Source organism: Homo sapiens, chromosome X (assembly GCF_000001405.40).
Source record: "Homo sapiens chromosome X, GRCh38.p14 Primary Assembly".
In the NCBI taxonomy this organism is placed as follows: Eukaryota; Metazoa; Chordata; class Mammalia; order Primates; family Hominidae; genus Homo; species Homo sapiens.
Genome location: NC_000023.11, coordinates 24916307 through 24935010, shown reverse-complemented (window position 1 = coordinate 24935010; position 18704 = coordinate 24916307). Strand labels below are relative to the sequence as shown.

Genomic DNA, 18704 nt, shown 5'->3' with positions numbered 1-18704 from the left:
GGTGGCTCATGCCTGTAATCCCAGCACTTTGGGAGGCCGAGGCGACTGGATCATGAAATCAGGAGTTTGAGACCCACCTGACCAACATGGTGAAACCCCATCTCTACTAAAAATACAAAAATTAGCTGGGCGTGGTGACGTGCACCTGTAATCCCAGCTACTCAGGAGGCTGAGGCAGGAAAATTGCTTGAACCCAGGAGGCAGAGGTTGCAGTGAGCCAAGATCGCACCACTGCATTCGAGTCTGGGTGACAGAGCGAGACTCCGTCTCAAAAAAAAAGTTGGGGAGAGACCAACCTTGCTGACACCTTGCTCTTAGACTTCTAGCCTCCAGAAATGTGAGGAAATATAGTTAAGCCACCCCATCCATGGTACTTTGTTATAGCAGTCCTAGCAAATGAATACACCATCTTACTATTAATAGCTGACACAGAATATGAGGAGAGAAGCATCTACTAAATGAGAACAGAAACAGAAAAAAAAGTTTCTTTCTAGAACTAAAGAAAGATCAAACACTGAAGTGAAAAAGCAGTTAGTGGCTCCCTCTCTTTGCTTCCAAAATAATTTCACCCTATTGGTGGTGACACTCAGGCCATACCACACTTAGTTGTTGCTGAATCTGTCTTTCCTCAACAGACTCTAAGCTCCTCCAGGGCAGGGAGTGTTGGCCATCCACCTTTGTTCCTCTGACATGAGGAATGTCACTCAACACCTAATAGGAACTATATATAAACAAATTGTTTTTACTGTTGCTGAATAAACAACAACAAAGGTTCAGTTGAGAAAACTAAGAGACTTTTTTCTTCCTGCATTTTTAAGGAGATTTAGATTTGAACTGATTCAGGTTTCCCCTGAACTGTTCACTTACCCCTACTCAGGCCAAGGCACCACGGGATGAGGCAGCCAAATGGGACCATTTCATGCGGCCATCCTGGAAATGGATTTTTACTTCATAGATTGCCCCTATGTTCCTGTAAAACCGCCTTTGAATCCATTATGCCATCTGTGTACATTCTGGAGCAGTTACAATAATAATGCCAAAGTCCCACAGAAATAAGATTTTAAAAATGTAATGCAGTTACAGCAAATATGCAGTAAACACTTCACCAACGTGAATAACAGTCCTTTACCATTTTAAAGGAAGGAAAAAATATCAAATGGGGTTAATCCACATTATGGACTAATGGTCTGTAAACTCTCGTTTGAAAGCAAAGCAGAGAAAAAGCTTTGACAAGAGCTACTTTTCCCCATAAAAATAAACCTCTTTCAAATAATTTGTACATGTTTTTCTAAGTCAAATTGCCAAGTTTCAAACAAAAATTAAAACCACCATCCAGTTACAACCCTTAAAATATGGGCTTTATGATGGAAATGGTAAAACAATCTTAGTGAAGGAAATGTTGCTAGGTACTGACAGTAAAGGAGAGTCTACAGTAAATACTTCACACACCAGTTACGGGGCACTTGTTGACAGAAGACACTTAGACTCCATTCTCAATAATATAACTGTGTATAACGACTGTCATTTTTCACAGGACTTTTGATGTTAACATCTACTGGTGTTCTGGCCATGGTCCAAATTGAATAAATATATTTGCCCTCCGGTTCCCTTAGATTTTAAACTCATTTTAATAGCAGGTCTCCCTTGAATAGCAAATCAAAAGAGAATTCACTCCAACTTATAAAGTGAGAAGTCAATTTTATTTGTTATACTATTTTAAACTTATGGTGTTTTCCCCTATAATTGTTCTCCTCTCTACTATAAGAATATTCTTGTTCCCCCATTGTTCCCTATGAACTATGACCTTGCATTCAATTGTCTTTTATTTAGAAACCATCCAACTATGTCTTTAGAGTGCCCAGGAGAGGGGTTCTCAAACTTGGCTGCACGGCAGAATTATCTGGGGGAATTTTCAAAAAATTATAGCTTCCTAAGCTCTACCCCCAACATCTTCTGAATTAGAATCTGTGGACATAGGATCTATGGATTTGGGTTTTTAATATGCCCCAGGTGACTCTTAGGAGAGGGCTTATCAGATGTCATGTGTTAGGAAACCTCTGCTCTTGGTAAGTGTGCCCCCAAGTTTTGGTTTATATCCCACCACTTATGAATACCCTAATACCACTTAGCATTACTGCATGATCTGAAAATGCCTGGAGCATGTAAATTTCAGCTAATTCACTCATTCCCAAACTGTAATTCAGGAATAATAAATAAACAGCAGGAAACTCAAAGAGTTTCAATTGGTAAAATTCAATAAATAAAACAAAAGGGCTCTTGGAACATTTCATGAAGTTCCTTCAGTCACATATATTTTTTTCTCTTCTCGTCTTATTTTCTTTAGCCCTCTGATATATAAAAGAACCCATCGATAACTCAATGCCATTTTTGCCCCGAATTGCTGGGTAGTATATTATTAGATACAAACAATAAAAAAGTGTACTGATCCTTAAACTTGTGAAATGGGACTACAGTAAACTCTGAGTGTACAGATCCTGTCAATACTTTTCCCTTTTAGCCAAGCAAGAGGCTTCCAAGCGGCTACTTATTTCCTCTTATTTTCTGTGGGTGTAATAACGTGCACTTCTCAGTGTCCTCTAAGAGGATGGGCTAAATCTCCAGTGACTTTCCAGATCACTCCTCTACATGCCTCCAAGAGTTGCCAGACCTTTTGAAAACTGCTGATCATAAAAGACTGATTCTGCCTCTCAGATAAGAATTTTAGAGCCGTATAGGGAAGAGGAATCTTTCCCCTCAAATAACATATAGAAAACAATCTAGGATGGATAGATTTAGAAAGAAATAATGGGCTGGCCAGGCACAGTGGCTCACGCCTGTAATCCCAGCACTTTGGGAGGCTGAGGCAGGCAGATCACCTGAGGTCAGGGGTTTGAGGCCAGCCTGGCCAACAAGGTGAAACCCCCTCTCTACTAGAAATACAAAAATTGGCCAGGTGTGGTGGCACATGCCTATAATCCCAGCTACTTGGGAGGCTGAGGCAGGAGAATCATTTCAACCCAGAAGGCGGAGGCTGCAGTGAGCTGAGACCGTGCCACTGCACTCCAGCCTGGGCAACAGAGCAAGACTCTGTCTCAAAAAAAAAAAGAAGTAATAGAGGAACAGGTTCTAATATACTGATATTCAGAAAGAGGTAACAGACCTGATAGAAACAGATAATGCGTTCAGATAATCAGTACTTAATTTTCTCAACTCATAACTGTCTTTAGGAAAGGTCCTTGGGGATAAAAGAAAAACAGCTGTAAATGATATTACAAGTATATATGGGCTAGACATTGACCATGAATAAAAGTTCTAAAACTTAGTTATTAATAGGCAGAATAAATTTATTCTCTGTATAAATTTTACTAATTCATGGAAAATATGCTGTGGAGATAGCTCAAGTCCTTGTTGAACATCTAGAGATAAGATACTAATATCTGAACCAGCTTCTCCATCAGTTGTAAAATGCTCTCTCTCCAAGGACAGCAAAACCAAATAAGTCAAGGCATTTAAAAAATAATTTCTAGCCTATCTTGTGGATGGAAAAACAAGTCAATTATGACTGGAATTAAAAACAGTGAGAACAAATCAAGGGCAGCATGGGGATTCTTATGCGGGGAAATCTAGCAATAGTTGTAGGTTTTTAATGTCATTGCGGTTGTTTCCAGCCCTAGTACCGACCAACAAAACGTTGAATTGATACTCGCTGACAAACAACATAAACACTCTGTAGGTAACTAATAAGAAAAATGTATAAATCTGCCTTTTTTATTTTTCACAGGTAATAGAAAAGTTGTCAATGTGATTTTCAGGTAGGAGAAAAAAAAAACAAACATGCAGTTGTCATGACATTTTCAAATACTTTAAGTTATGTAACAAAGCTTTTCCCAGACCCATTAAGTCCCACAGTGCCCGCAAGTCTTGTATAAGGAAACGCCGAGTGCTGAGGGTTCCATGCAACAGCTGATCATACGGGCTGAGGCGCCTATATACTCTCTTAGGATGGAGTCAATAAAGGAACTCCACCTCATCCCTCTCTCAAAACGAACCCAGGCTTTTAGCGAACAGCAGAGACACACTCCAAGTCTATTTTTTTGCAGTAATATCTGGTTTTTGTAGGCCCAATGATCACGTTGCCTATGCTTACTTTATTACAGTTACTAAACTCTGTAGAAAATAGCATTTTCAAAATATAGCATTTAAAGAGTCCTTTTTGTACTGTTCCTCCCCCAAAGCCTTGCTTTAATAGAGGACAATGTGAAACAGGCTGTGGGGGCCAAAGCTGGGGATTCCTATGCCACCGCCCCTCATGCAGGGGATCCCTGTGTTCACATAGGCCCCCACGGCCTGCTTCTGAGACAGCAATGTGATGCTGCATGAACAGCCTGACACAGTAGGTCTGGCTTTTATAATGCAAATTTCCACTTTAAACTCAAAGGTAATTACAGTATTTTAACGTACCTTTCTCATGATCGGTAGTAAGTTTCTCCAGTGCACACTCCGCATCAAAAATGTACCGGTAAAAGCACAGCTGGGTGTACAGGGACTTGTCAGAATACTGTAATATAACAGAAAATAAATGAATACTACTACTGGGGAGGGGGAAGCGATGGGGATCACTCTCAGCAGAGTGTATCCCCTACTTTCAACTTCCAAATCAAGCAGCATTTTTTAAAGAAAGTGGGTAAGAAGGGCAGAATCATACTAATGGTTTGTCCCTCTTATATAGCATATACACCTTTCATAATTCAGAATAAATCCTGCCACTTCGATCATAGATTACTACTTGCGAAGCTGCAGACTGATTACCCCTGCTGTCAAAAACCTGATTTTGTCAAACTGCAAATTCCTATGCACTCATGACAATTTGCACTGTTAATTGGGAAAAGTGCTATGTGCTTCCTAACTGGGCCCTGTCCATGCTAGCAGGAAGTTAAACAAATTCTGAAAACTGTTTAATACATATTGCTATACCATGAGCCCCGTTTTATGATTTGTGGTGACAATCCATTGCCTGTGCCAGGATTGGCTCACAGACTCACAGTAACATCTTGACTATTTGCTCTGTGGTAATCCTAAGTGGGCAACGTATGATCTCTGAGAAGTACCATGTGAAATGAAATAACCAAGGCTTTTCATCCCACCCATGTCAAAACACTCGTTTAATGACCTTGCCAAGTTCCAATTCAACAAAGTGTAGGAGACGTGTCTGAACTACTATTCACTCAGCAAACATATACTAAACATTCCTGAGGTTATTTAGAGTCACTGTGTATTCTAAGCAACTGTGTCTCACTCTGTGTGGGAAAAAAATACATGCAGTCAATTCAATAACCAATATGAGAATTATTTGGGGAGTCACATTCAAATGCACTTCTATCTATTTTAAATCAACTGACCTACAAACTTTCTTTCCATCTTCCCAAGGGGTTAGACACTTGGGAAACTTGCGAGCTGGGGAACAATGAGCTCAAGCTTTGGTGTTTTCTTTGAGGGGTCCTACCAAGGTGAAACAACTAAGCCCTCAGAACTTTTCAAATGAGAAGATCAAATGACAAACATGTTACCAGTTTCTCCCTTGCTGCCTTGGAATGACATGTAATTTAACCAACACTGAACACCCACTGTGTGCCAAGTTGGTTGAATGAATGAATTTATGAATGACCACAACAGCCAAGTCATTTGTACAATCCATGCAGCAAGGCCAGGTGGCACACACAGACTATCATGTAAATAAGAAATTAAGGAAAACCACTATCTACAACTGGATATGGAAATAGCACTATTTTCAAAGGGAATCTCTTTGAGTAACCAAGTATTAGATCCAAGGATCCTAGCTGGGTCTTAATGATGAAAAATTATAGCCAACCCAATTTGGTGCAGGAGTAACTAAAATTCAGTTATTAGAGCTCACACTTCACCTTTCTGCTCATTCCCTTATAAAATGTGTTACTAAATTTAGTGTATTTTATACTTCTTTGGCCATTACAAATGGTATCTATAAATATTCGGTAGCAGGAACAAACCCACATGGAGCAATTTATCGGTCAGGGCTATTGTCTTTTTTGTGGGCGCATTCCTTCCACAAGTCTCTCTTTCTTTACCTGAACCTACTTTAAAAAGTATACACCTAGAAGCCTATTTTATTTCTTATTAGCTATTCTACAATATGCATCATCATTATACTATTATACACCAGTTATTTTTAGCGAATCCTGATTACTGCTTCCTGGGGGAAAAAAAAGGAGGACGACAGCGATTAAGTTATTTGTTTAGTTTTTTAGATTCAGCAGTAATTGCTGGTACACATCTCCCTGACTGCACACATGCTGCAGGTTGAATAGAACACTGAAATTACCTCCTTCATAATAGTTTGTTTTGATAATGTATTGTGTGTCGAGATGATGAGAAACAGTTGCTGTCAATTTGATTAGCCATTATATTTTTATGTTAATTGCCATTATTGGGTCCATTCTGTTTAGTGTCACCATAGAAGCCATACAATGTTAGCATAAATAACAAATTGGAGTAAATTAGGAAGATATATTTTTGCCAATTCATTTTAATTGCCCCTCAGTCCTTCCGTTGGTTAACGCAGCTGTTGACCCATAATAAGCGCTGGGTCAATATAGCTGCTTGTCAATTCAGAAATGCAAAGTGCTGTGTTGCTAGTAATGGATATACAACAACCTTTGCCAGCCAACTGAAGCAAACGAGTGACAACCCACATGAAGGAATAAAGCGTCAGCCACGGAGTTTAGTGACCTGATATTAGTAGGCAGGCTAATTGAAAGTCACTGCCTAAATGGATAAGGAAAATAGGGGAAAAAATTAAAAAGGAGTTATATATTTTAAAAAAATATACCAACACCTCCTGCCCTTTTGATTCCTGACATATTTTGCAATTAGTAAACTGGTTGAAAACAAAAGGCCCTATTACATTTTCAATGTCAAATACAATTAAGTGGTTTTAAAAAACACACATGAAACAGAGAAAACTATAGTTTAAATGAACAAGAATAACACCTACTTTTGTTGTCTTGATTTTGCACCACTAATTTGTGATCCCTTGGAGATTTTTTGTTTTTTAAAAAATCTTTACCATCTTTTCTCTTTTGCCTTTGATGATAAATTCTTCTAATCAAGAAACCTGACACTCTCTAGTCTTATCTGAGATCTTCAGCGTTTTTTTCCTCACACTTAAATGCTCATTTTGACTGTACAAGATTGGATGGAAAATACTTCAAGAAAATAAGATGATATTTTAACATTTCTTTCTCTCTCCAGCTTTCACTTATTGGTTTAAAATGTTCGATTTCTTGCTCTTTCCTTGAAAATTGCACTCAACACAGTGCCTAGGCTTCTTTCAGTCTTCCTTTATAGTTAGAACATCATGTACCAAAGTGGCCGACTGTGATTTGGTAAGGACAATACTGAGCTGAAATAGCTACTGTATGTATCACGCTCTGCATTCAAGTTAGTTACTTGGAGTGTTACCAGAGTAATAAGGGTGGGCCACGGGTGCACTCATAGGTCCATATACACACAGGGGTAAGGAAAGAACTCTGTTTTGATACCTGGCACAGGGGACGACTTGGCAAATATTGTTGAAGAAATGAAGGGAAAAGGAAAATGCTTTAATACCACCGTTTTTTATGTGTTCTTTTTGAATCCTGTAATCAGATTATATTAGAAACAACGCAAACTTCATTCTTTCTCCAAGTCAAAGTACTTTATGACCAAAACATAGTCCTGAATCCATTTATCAATATTATCCAGTCTCTCTCCTGAGATTTCTGATGAGGTCCTATATCAGTGGTCCCTTACCTGGCTGCAAACCAGTCACCCCAAGAGCTTTAAAAAAAGTACTGATAGCTGGGTGTGGTGGCTCACACCTGTAATCCCAGCACTTTGGGAGGCATAGGAGGGCAGATCACTTGAGGTCAGGAGTTCGAGACCAGCCTGGCCAATATGGTGAAACCCCGTCTCTACTAAAAAAAAAAATACAAAAATTAGCTGGGTGTGGTGGCGCATGGCTGTAGTCCCAGCTACTTGGGACGCTGAGGTGGGAGAATCACTTGAACCTGGGAGGTGGAGGTTGCAGTGAGCCGAGATCACGCCACGGCACTCCAGCCTGGGCAAAAGAGTGAGGCTCCATCTCAAAAAAAAAAAAAGTACTGATGATCAGACCTCAGCCCCAGAACAACTAAATGAGAGTATAGAGTGGAGTGCTGGATATGAGCATTTTAAAGGGCTGCCAGGTAGTTCTAGTGGGCAGTCTGAGATGAGAACTGCTGTGCTACACACTACCTGTATCGGGGATACTTTTAGAACCATAGACTCTGATCCTTCTAATCTGGCTCAAGATCAAGGAATTTATGTTATCCAAAATAGGCTGAGAAGTTTTCATGAGAATCATTTCTGAGGAAGATGCTTGCTTGTTTAAGCAAGTTATTTCAAGATTAGGATAGGATATATTTTCTGTTACATAAAATACAGGGCAGTGTTAAAGCTGACTTGCATTTTTTTGGTCCTAAATTTTTACTGAATTATAATAAAAACACAAGAAGTACACAAATACTAGGTGTACGGCTTGATGCACAAAATGAACACATCTCTGTGATCAGTACGCAGAGCAAGAAACAACATTTTTAGTATCCCAGAGGCCCCCCTTATTCCCCTAATTATTCCCCATCTTCCCCTTAAAGCTAACAATAGATTTGCCTTTAAACTTTATGTGCATGCAGTCGTACAGTTTGTGTTCTTTTCTATTTGGTTTCTTTCTATTTTTATTTTATTTATTGTGAGACAGGGTCTCACTCTGTTGCCCATGCTGGAATGCAGTGGCGCAATCATAGCTCATTGCAGCCTTGAACTCCTGGGCTCAAGCAATCCTCCCACCTAAGCCTCCCATGTAGCTGGCACCACAGGCGCGTGCCACCACACCCAGCTAACTAAAAAAAAAAAAAAACTTTTAGTAGAGATGAGGTCTTGCTATATTGCTCAGGCTGGTCTCGAACTCCTCAGCCATCACACCCAGCCTTCTTTTTCTCAATATTGTGTTTGTGAGATTCATCTATGTTGTCCTGTGTAGCAGTCACGCATTTCTTCTCATTGTTGTGAGTCCCAGCTACTCCGGAGGCAGCAGAAACGCTTGAACCCAGGAGGTGGACGTTGTAGTGAGCTGAGCTCACTCATGCCACTGCACTCCAGCCTGGGCAACAGAGCAAGACTCCATCTCAAAACAAACAAACAAACAAACAAACAAACGGAATGATGCTACTGTGAATATTCCTGTACATGTCTTTGAAGCACATATTAATATGTATCATTTTCTGTTGATTACAGTTTGGAGGAGGGGAAATGCTGAGTCATAGGGCATGCAAATGTTCAGCTTTAGTAGGTACTGCCAAACTGTTTTCTGAGGTATCGATTTCATCTGACTTTCTTTTGAACTGGTTTGACAAGACAGTCTTTTACTTTATATTTCTAAGATATTTGCATGGGAACATAACCAGTCTTTTCTCTCTCATTTGTAGGGACAGCAGAAATTAGCTAAAGTCATCTCATAACACAACTTGTCCCTGAATTAAATTCCTTGAGGTATGAAGAGTTGGGCTCATGACCTTAGAGATTATCCACAGCAAAATCTTAATCTCAAGTTATCACCCTCATACAACCCAGAAGATGCAAGGCCTGCCTCCTTGCATCATCAACTGGTACATTCTCATTGATGTAAAATTCATTTTGGTGAAGCCTGAAAAATATCAAATCATGAAGGAAAATCAGCTGCCAAAAAACCCAAAACGTACCCCCAAACACCACGTTCTAGTAGAAGCATAGATAATCCAGCACTCGCTATAACTGTAAAATATAATGAAGGTGTATTAAACTGCATTACTTTGCAAATGGTGAAGATACAGTTAAATCTAGGTATCATACCATATAGCAGATTCAGAACTCTAAACCTCACTAGCACTGACAGAGATCATGAGGTACATGTCTAGAAATGAAAATCCAGCTTAGGATAGTCTTTGCTGAAAAATCCCTACTAGCACCCTCACCACACACAGGATAAAGTTCCAACCCTTCAGGTCCACTCTCACAAGTTTTCTACATGCCCCTCAACTGCCAGCCTGGCCATATACCCACGCCACCCTTATCACCATCCCCTGCTACAGTCAGGAAATGTATCCTTCCTTCCTCCACACCCTTACCCAAGCAATTCCACCCCTTTCAGGTCTATCCTTCTGGTCTTGATTAAAGATCCAGTCAGTTCCTATCCACCTCATCAGACCCCACAGTCATCATCATCTTCGGGAAGCCGTTTGTGCCTCCATAATTCTGTCTGTTCACTTTCCACCTGACAGACATAGTTGCCTATCCTGTGACCACATGGCTCACTACACCCTCTGACCTACAGCTCCCACCCCAGGTAGTCCTCACTGGTTTTATCACCCCTTGAGCCTCCTAGGATGTGAGCTGCTGAGGGCGGGGACCACATGCATATTGCTTAATGATACAACACTAGTCCTTTGAATTGATTTCTAATGTGTCCTATGTGTATATCCCCATGGAAGACTGGAATAGCAGAAAGACCATAGGCTTTGGGGTCAGACTGAATCTGGCTTGAAATGTAGTTCTACCACTAAAGGCTTGGGTGACCTTTGACAAACTGCTTAACATATTCACACCTCAATTTCTCCATCTGTAAAACAAGACTAACGTGTCTCAGGAATGTTGTTAAAATAACAAGATACCATACAAAAAGCACCGAGCACCATGACTGCTACGAAGTACACAGTGGATATGTGATAGATCCTATACGTTTCCCAATTAGACGATAAGCTTCTGGAGGGTTTGATTTGTGCACCAAACACAATGCCATGCCAGCCACAGGTTCTCCAGAAAGTTTTGTCTAAGGAACATGTCTAAACTCTTGAACATGAGTGTCTCTTTTAAATGAATGCATTAAAAACTGCTATTTCTACAGCATTTTACTAAAGATATGCCTTCGAATTCCAGTATCGCTCAATTTCCATACACCTTTAGGCTTTAGGTAAATTATTCGTCTTGATTATGAAAAGGTTGAAATAAACTTTCCTGTTTTCCCTGCCACTCAATTACTTAGTTTTCTATCTATTTTATTTGCAATATCTATGTTAACTTAGCTATTTTGCAAATGTGGAACAACAGAGGGTGAAAAAAAAATACTGGTTTGCCAACTCCACTGTACTTCTTTGCAAAGGAAATTATTTCCATAGGCTACAGAAATAACTTATTTGGATTACTTCAATTAGTTCTAATACAAAACATTGCCACCACTTCATTAATCAGCCGCTTGTGAGGGTTACTTTTCCAAGAAGTCTTTTTGGTAATTTGATTAGAAAGAATGGTGGTGCACATTATCATCTGATTCAGTATGTCCATCAAGTAGACAATTTACAGCAAGTTCTTGATAACGATGGGCTTAAAAAACACACAGTAATTTCTTCATTTCAGAATCCTTTTTTTGTAAAGATGAAGTTATTTTTCAAAGTCTTTGGCAACACACGTTGCTGAATAAGCATCAGGAAATATTTTAGTGCTTTAAGAGGCATTTCACTCTTTCCCTCTCCCCACAGACAACCCCCACCCCCACGAATGATGCAGTAATTAAAACCTAATTATTATCTTCATTTTAAACAAAACCTAAAGTGAATACCAATTAATAACAACATACTAATGAGCATCTGCTGTGATGAAATTGAATATGAATGTGCTGCAAATTTCGGGTAATTTATTTTTTTTAGGGGAAGTGCCACTGGTCGCATTCTGCTGTTAGAAGATTATATAGAATGTACACCATTTTCTATCAAGTCATTCTGCACATGGCAATTTCCATCTGAGGAGACACGGCTGGCTTCAATACTGCAGATGTTGAAATATCCAAATATTGGCCATGGGGTCCTCACTGGGACTGAGGACTGTTTACTGTCCTCCCTACAAAAGGTTTCCTTAATGTCATTATTTCTAGGTTAACCTAATGTCAAAAAAAGATTGAATTTGCCCTCTCTTACATGTAAGCATGTATCAATACCTCAATGAAAATTTAAATATAAATTTCAAACCAGAAGAAACAATAACATAAAAATCAAGGTTTGTAAGTCATACCCTTGGATTCCACTGGAACTTTAAGATGGTCTAGAAATGTTTATTGATGCTTAAGCTGGAGACACCCTTAAAACCTCAAAGTGCTGAGATAGTGGGCCAAGTTCAGATTTATTAATAGTACCACATCACAAAGTAAAATGTAGTGGTAGAATGAGGTTCTACAGATTAGTTTCAAACTCCCTATCTATGGTATGAATGGATAGGGCTAGATTAGTGTTGTTCAAATATGTACTATTTGTGGGCCTCAGGGGCTTCTTCATTTATTAAAGTATATATTCATCAAAAAATTTAAAAGGTTCACTCACATGTGCTACATACCAACTTTTAAGACCTTTAAGACCCCAATGTATTAACTGGTGCTCTCACTGACAGACTTGTAAAAAACAAAGTTAAAATAGACATCTATATTGATAAAAATATTTATCTGTTTCATAGATGGGAATTCTGCATGAAATCTTATTTGGAAAAAATGGGGCCAGGAACAGTGGCTCAAGCCTGTAATTGTAGTGCTTTGGGAGGCCAAGGTGGGCGGGGGAGAGGTCACTTGAGGCCAAGAGTTTGGGACCAGCCTGGGTTACATAGCAAGACCCTATCTCTACAAAAAAAAAAAAATAAACTAGTTGGGTATGATAGCGCATGTCTGTAGTCCCAGCTACTTGGGAGGCTGAGGCAGGAGGACCTCCTTGAGTCCAGGAATTTGAGGCTGCAGTGAGCTATGTTCACGCCACTATACTCCAATGTGGGTGACACAAACAGATCCTGTCTCAAAAAAAGGGGGGGTTTTCTTCGATTCAGTAATTTCTAGGATTTCTTTTCAGATCTAAGCTGGATGAAAAACTGCAATATGACTTTGTCTTCTTATTGGCCAAAAAAAGCCACTTGTTCCTCTTCCCTGGCACATTATCTTGTTAAAATAAAAATTCTCTATTATTTCCCATTCCACCCCCATCACACACACACACACAAAAGGCAAAACTGACATCTGGAATGTTTGGTCAGCTTTCAAATATCTTAATAACTGGTCCCTTGGTGCTGTGATAAACAAATATCAACAATGACTAAAATAAATATACATGGCTACTATAAATACATTGGAGTAACATCAGGATGAAAACTTAACCTTTTAATTTGATCTGGATGTTAAGGTGCATTCTGGGTTAGGTGACACCTCTGAAGAAGTTCTGCTTCATATGGAAACGTAGGGTAAGTTAAAGTCAGCCTACTCTCATAGCATGAGCCACCTGTATTCATCAGAAAGACAACTATTCATTTATCTAACATACTGAGAATCTACTACATGCGAAGGCACTGTTCTAGCTGCTAGGGCTACATCAGGGGACAAGAGAAAAATACTGAAAGATTGCAGAAGCTTACAGTATGGTGTGGGTACATCTTCTCCAATACTGTGACACAGTTAAATGTGGATATTTCCATTTATATACCCCTCTCTTCATGTCAACCACTGTCTTTCTATAATTTTTAATGGCATGTATCACTTTTCATTTTCTAATAGAATTATTTGTGTGTTTTAGTTCCGATGCTACACTGAGAGGTCTTTGATGGTCATATTCATTTTTTTATTCCTGACAATATTTTTATCAATATGCCTGTTCAATAACTAAATGAATTACTCTGCTAAACAATAAAAAAAATTCACAACCCTTGCACTTGCATAGTATGTGATATTTTTCAAAGCATTCAATCCTCAGAATAACTCTGTGAGGTCAGGGGAAACTGGGATTATTTCCCTTATTTTACAAAGTTCATCAAGGTGAAGTCATCTGTTTATAATACTAGATCTGGTCAGTAAATGGGGTAGCTATGGTTTGTTTGAAACCTCTTAGAAAAACTGGTAGAGTCAAAACTAGAATGATTATTCATAGCTAGAATCGAGAAGGCGGCATATTTTTATTTCCAAACATCATCTCACTTCTTGGCATGAAATGCTGGTCTAGGATTGAGCAAGATAAAATAAAGTCCATATATGCACGCTATATATGGATTAAATCACAGTATGCCAAAGGAGGGGCTTAATGAAGTTCAGCATGATAGATTAATGTCAATTTGACACTTTCTAGTTTTCAGAGCACTCTCCTTTGCATTATGGTTTCTCCCATTTGATCCTCAACATGTGAGCTACCTATTCTGATTATCCTCATTTTACATATAAGAAAGCTGAGACTCAAAGAGGTTACTGGGCTTGCCTTAGGTCATGCAGCTAGTAAGTGGCAGAGCCAATACTTGATGCCAGGTTTTCAGTGTCCAAGCCCCTTGATCCTTTTATTATGCCACTTTTTATTGATGCATTTTCAACTATGTCATTCTGTGTTAATCAGTTCTTTTGTGGCCAGTTTTCAATCTGACATACTTGCTTTGTGTGCCAGAGACGGTCCATTCATATGCACCTGGTACCTCCCTCACACAGGCTACAATGATGTCACATTCAGGTTATAGTTCACTATAGGTCCAAGTGGCTGAAGCACAGGGCCACAAAAAAGGTCATGGGCCTGCGGGCTAGAGGCAAAGGCTGCAATGAGAAACTGACCAAGCCAAATAGACAAGCTTTCCAATGTGTACCATTGTTGTGCTAGGGACCCAACGTCTAATGTGTCAACTTAATTTTATAATTTTTGCTCTTCATTCTGAGAAGCACCTTTAGAAATTGCACCTTTGATTAAAAATATGTCAAAATTTGTGGGGGGTGAGGGGGTGGCCAGGCTCGGTGACTCATGCCTGTAATCCCAGCACTTTGGGAGGCCAAGGCGGGAGGATCATCTGAGGTCAGGAGTTTGAGACCAGCCTGGCCAACATGGCAAAACCCCGTCTCTACTAAAAATACAAAAATTAGCCGGGTGTGGTGGCACACACCTGTAGTCCCAGCTACTTGGGAGGCTGAGGCAGGAGAATCAGTTGAATCTGGGAGGTGGAGACTGTAGTGAGCTGAGATCGTGACACTGCACTCCAGCCTGGGCGACAGAGTGAGACTCTGTCTCAAAAAAAAAAAAAAAAAAACAGAAAAACAAAACAAAAAAAAAAACAAAAAAAAAAACAAAAAAAAAAACTGGGGAGGGAGAGCATTAGGAAAATAGCTAGTGCGTGTTGGGCTTAATACCTAGGTGATGGGTTGATAGGTGCAGCAAACCACCATGGCACACATTTACCCATGTAACAAACTTGCACATCCTGTACATGTATCCTAGAACTTAAAATAAAAATTGAAATATAAAGATGTCAAAATTTGAGTTCCTAGAAGTAAAATTTATGTTCCACAGTCTATGTATATACTTGAATACGTGTTCATTTGCCTTTAGAAATTCCTAACAGAACATCAAGAGGCTTTCTCAGTTTTACAAATGGAAAAACTGAGGCTCAGAGAGGCCAGGTAACCTTTCATTTGTAAATGGTGGTGGTGGGGGGGAACATGACCTCAAGGCACTGTTACGAAGACTGAATGAGATAATGTATAGGAAACAGTACGGTATCTGGCATAAAATTAGTGCTAAGTAAATGGCAGTGAGTATTATAACTATTTATTAGCTATGAATATTTGTCTTTGGGAAGTTTCCCGAGATAAAGAGACACTTGCAAGAACTTAATCTGGCATAGAGAGAATCAGGAGGCTAGAAGAATACGTTCTTTAGAAGAAAGGAGCTAAGTAAAGCCAAGGTATTTTAAACTACTACATGTAAAAATACGAAATGAGACAAGTATAGTGTGGTGGTTAAGAGCACACACTGTGGAACCAGACTGGGTTCAAATCCTGGCTCTACTTCTTAATTAAATGGGTGGTCTTGGGCAAGATATCTGCTATAATTTGGATGTTTGTCTCCTCCAAATCTCATGTTGAAATGTGATCCCCAATGTTGGAGGAAGGACCTAATGGGAGGTGTTTTGATCACGGCAGTAGATCTCTCATGAACAGATTACTGCCCTCCCTAAGGGAAGGAGTGGCTAAGTGAGTTCTTACTCTATTAATTCCCTTTAGAGCTGGTTGTTAAAAAGAGCCTCACACCTCCCCTCCTCTGTCTCTCACTTCTTCTCTCACCATGCGATCTCTACACAGCCAGCTCTCCTTCATCTTCCCCCATGAGAGGAAGCAGCCCGAGGCCCTCATCTGATACAAATGTCCAATCTTGTCTTGAAGTTCTCCAGACATCAGAATCACAAGTCAAATAAACCTCTTTTTTTAATAAATCACCCAGACTCAGGTATTCTTTCATATTAATAGTAATGTGAAGTAAATAAAGACAGCATCTAACCATGTTTCCTCATCTGTAAAGCAGGAATAACAACAGTACCTCATAGGATTATGATGCATATTAAATGAGTTTAAATAGAAAAAATGCTTAGAACAGTGCCTGAAACATAGTAGCTGGTATATGTTTGCTTTAAATCTTTTTTGGGGGGTTAAATTTGGCTACAACAAACCTTTAATGTATCTCTACTGTCTCTGCTTTGTTCTAGAGTGTTTGTCAGTCTATAATGAGGTTATATCCCTTATAAGCTACTATGAAACAAATTATATCTATGAATGTAGTTTTAGTGACTAATAGTTTCAGAGAACAGCATAGATTCATATACATAACAATGAAATTTTCAAAAATGATGCTTAGGAATATTCGAGAAATGGTGTGCTTTTTTTTTTTTTTTGGTGGTGATGGGTGGGGTGTGTATCAGCTATCCTTCAGCAGAAAGTGTAGAGGTAGATTTTGGAGAGGTCTTTGCTCACCATCCTCAAACTTTGCTTTTTGGTATCATTTGGTCTCACATTAATGATAACAGGTATAATGATAATAGATATAAAATAGTAGTTAATTGTGTGGCTTCCAGAGTCGGACAGACTGCTTCAAATTCTGGTTCTACCAAGTCACTTAACCTCTCGAAGCCTTGGTTTACCCAGCTGTAAAATACCCATCAGAATGTCGTAAAGATTAAATAAGACAATGCATATAAAGTGTTTGGCAAAAGTCTACTGTCTGGCACATGGTAAGCCCTCAATTCACATTAACTATATCCTCCTATTTCATTAAGACTTAATTCTTGTCAATGTTCATTTCTACTGGTCAGACTACATTTGGCCATTATCCTGTTCTAGCCAGCTCAGTCAATGAAATATATTCATACAGCCCACCCCTAAACATGGCTGCTAGGCTCTGAGGACACAGACTCTCTATCCTAACCAGCCATCATAATGAGAGATAAGCAGTAATTCTCTAAGAGATCATTTAGTGGAGTCCATTGGTTTGGACTTTCTTTAGGAAATTTCAGGTAGCTATTAACATAATTTAGTTACTGAATCACGGTAGAGGTCTTGTGATTTTCCTCCATGATATTTTGAATAAGTAGTTATTCAGTAACAAGTAATTGTAGGTATATTTTCAAATGTCAGCAAATTAAATTTCAAAAACCAAAGAAAAAGTAATAAAAGAAAGGGTATTAACACACATGCATGTGTAATTCACTAATTCCTTGTCTAAATTCTTCCAATTTGCCAGGACAATAATGGCACTGCAAAAACAGAGCCAACAAAAAGATGACTTGGCTGCTTTTTGCCTTTTTTTTTTTTTTCTTTCAGATGGAGTCTCACTCTGTCACTCAGGCTGGAGTGCAGTGGTGCAATCTCGGCTCACTGCAACCTCCCAGGTTCAAGCAATTCTCCTGCCTCAGCTTCCCGAGTAGCTGGGATTACAGGCATGCATCACCATGCCCAGCTAATTTTTCTATTTTTAGTAGAGACGGGGTTTCACCATGTTGGCCAGGCTGGTCTCGCAAGTGATCCACCCGCCTCAGCCTCCCAAAGTGCTGGGATTATAGGCGTGAGCCACCATGCCCAGCCTGCCTTTTCTTTTTAGACATTAAAGTGTTAGAAACTTGTTTAATTAGAAACTAGATTTGCTTGTATACAAGATCTGGTCTTTCCCACTGAAAGCTTACCTAGGCTGCTTTCTACATGCGATAGAAAACGAAACTATTCTACAAAGAAGTATTTAAAAAATACAAAAAACAAATTGGCTAATGGATTTTCCTTGGAATAAAATGCATAGCCATAAATGTGTTCTCTCTCAACTACTTTCACCTAAAGAAAGGAAACACTCAATTCCTGTAACTTTTATCTTAAGCTTTTGCAACTCAAAAAAATTGTTTGGAAAAATCAGAAAAACAAAACAAAAATCCTTCCCACGCTATACATCTCCCCAGTCTAGGTCTCAAAGTATGGGAAGTCCTTTGATAATACATCCCATTGATGTTCTCTGTCCTCTTTTAAAAATTGTTCTCAGTGGCCGGGCGCGGTGGCTCACGCCTGTAATCCCAGCACTTTGGGAGGCTGAGGAGGGTGGATCACCTGCGGTCAGGAGTTCGAGACCAGCCTGGCCAACATGGTGAAACCCTGTCTACTAATAATACAAAAATTAGCCAGGCGTAGTAGTGCAAATCTGTAATCCCAGCTACTCAGGAAGCTGAGGCAGGAGAATTGCTTGAACCTGGAGACGGAGGTTGCAGTGAGCCAAGATCGTGCCACTGCACTCTAGCCTGAGCGACACAGCGAGACT

At 39.4% G+C, this 18704-nt stretch overlaps 1 protein-coding gene across 10 annotated transcripts in view; it reads right to left on the bottom strand.

Moving 5' to 3' along the window:
* The window catches only part of POLA1 (DNA polymerase alpha 1, catalytic subunit), a 303069-nt gene that overhangs the window by 61976 nt on the left and 222389 nt on the right, over positions 1–18704 (bottom strand). For 8 of the 10 annotated variants that reach the window (NR_165483.1, NR_165482.1, NM_001330360.2 and 5 more), the window contains one exon: positions 4462–4558. Coding sequence is in view for 8 of the 10 variants with exons in the window: in NM_001330360.2 (NP_001317289.1) it covers positions 4462–4558 (97 nt within the window). In the remaining 2 variants the exon portion in view is untranslated. Of the gene's footprint in view, positions 1–309; positions 931–4461; positions 4559–18704 lie in introns of those variants that run through there. The other 2 variants (NM_001440806.1, XM_017029594.3) reach the window with 2 other exon arrangements.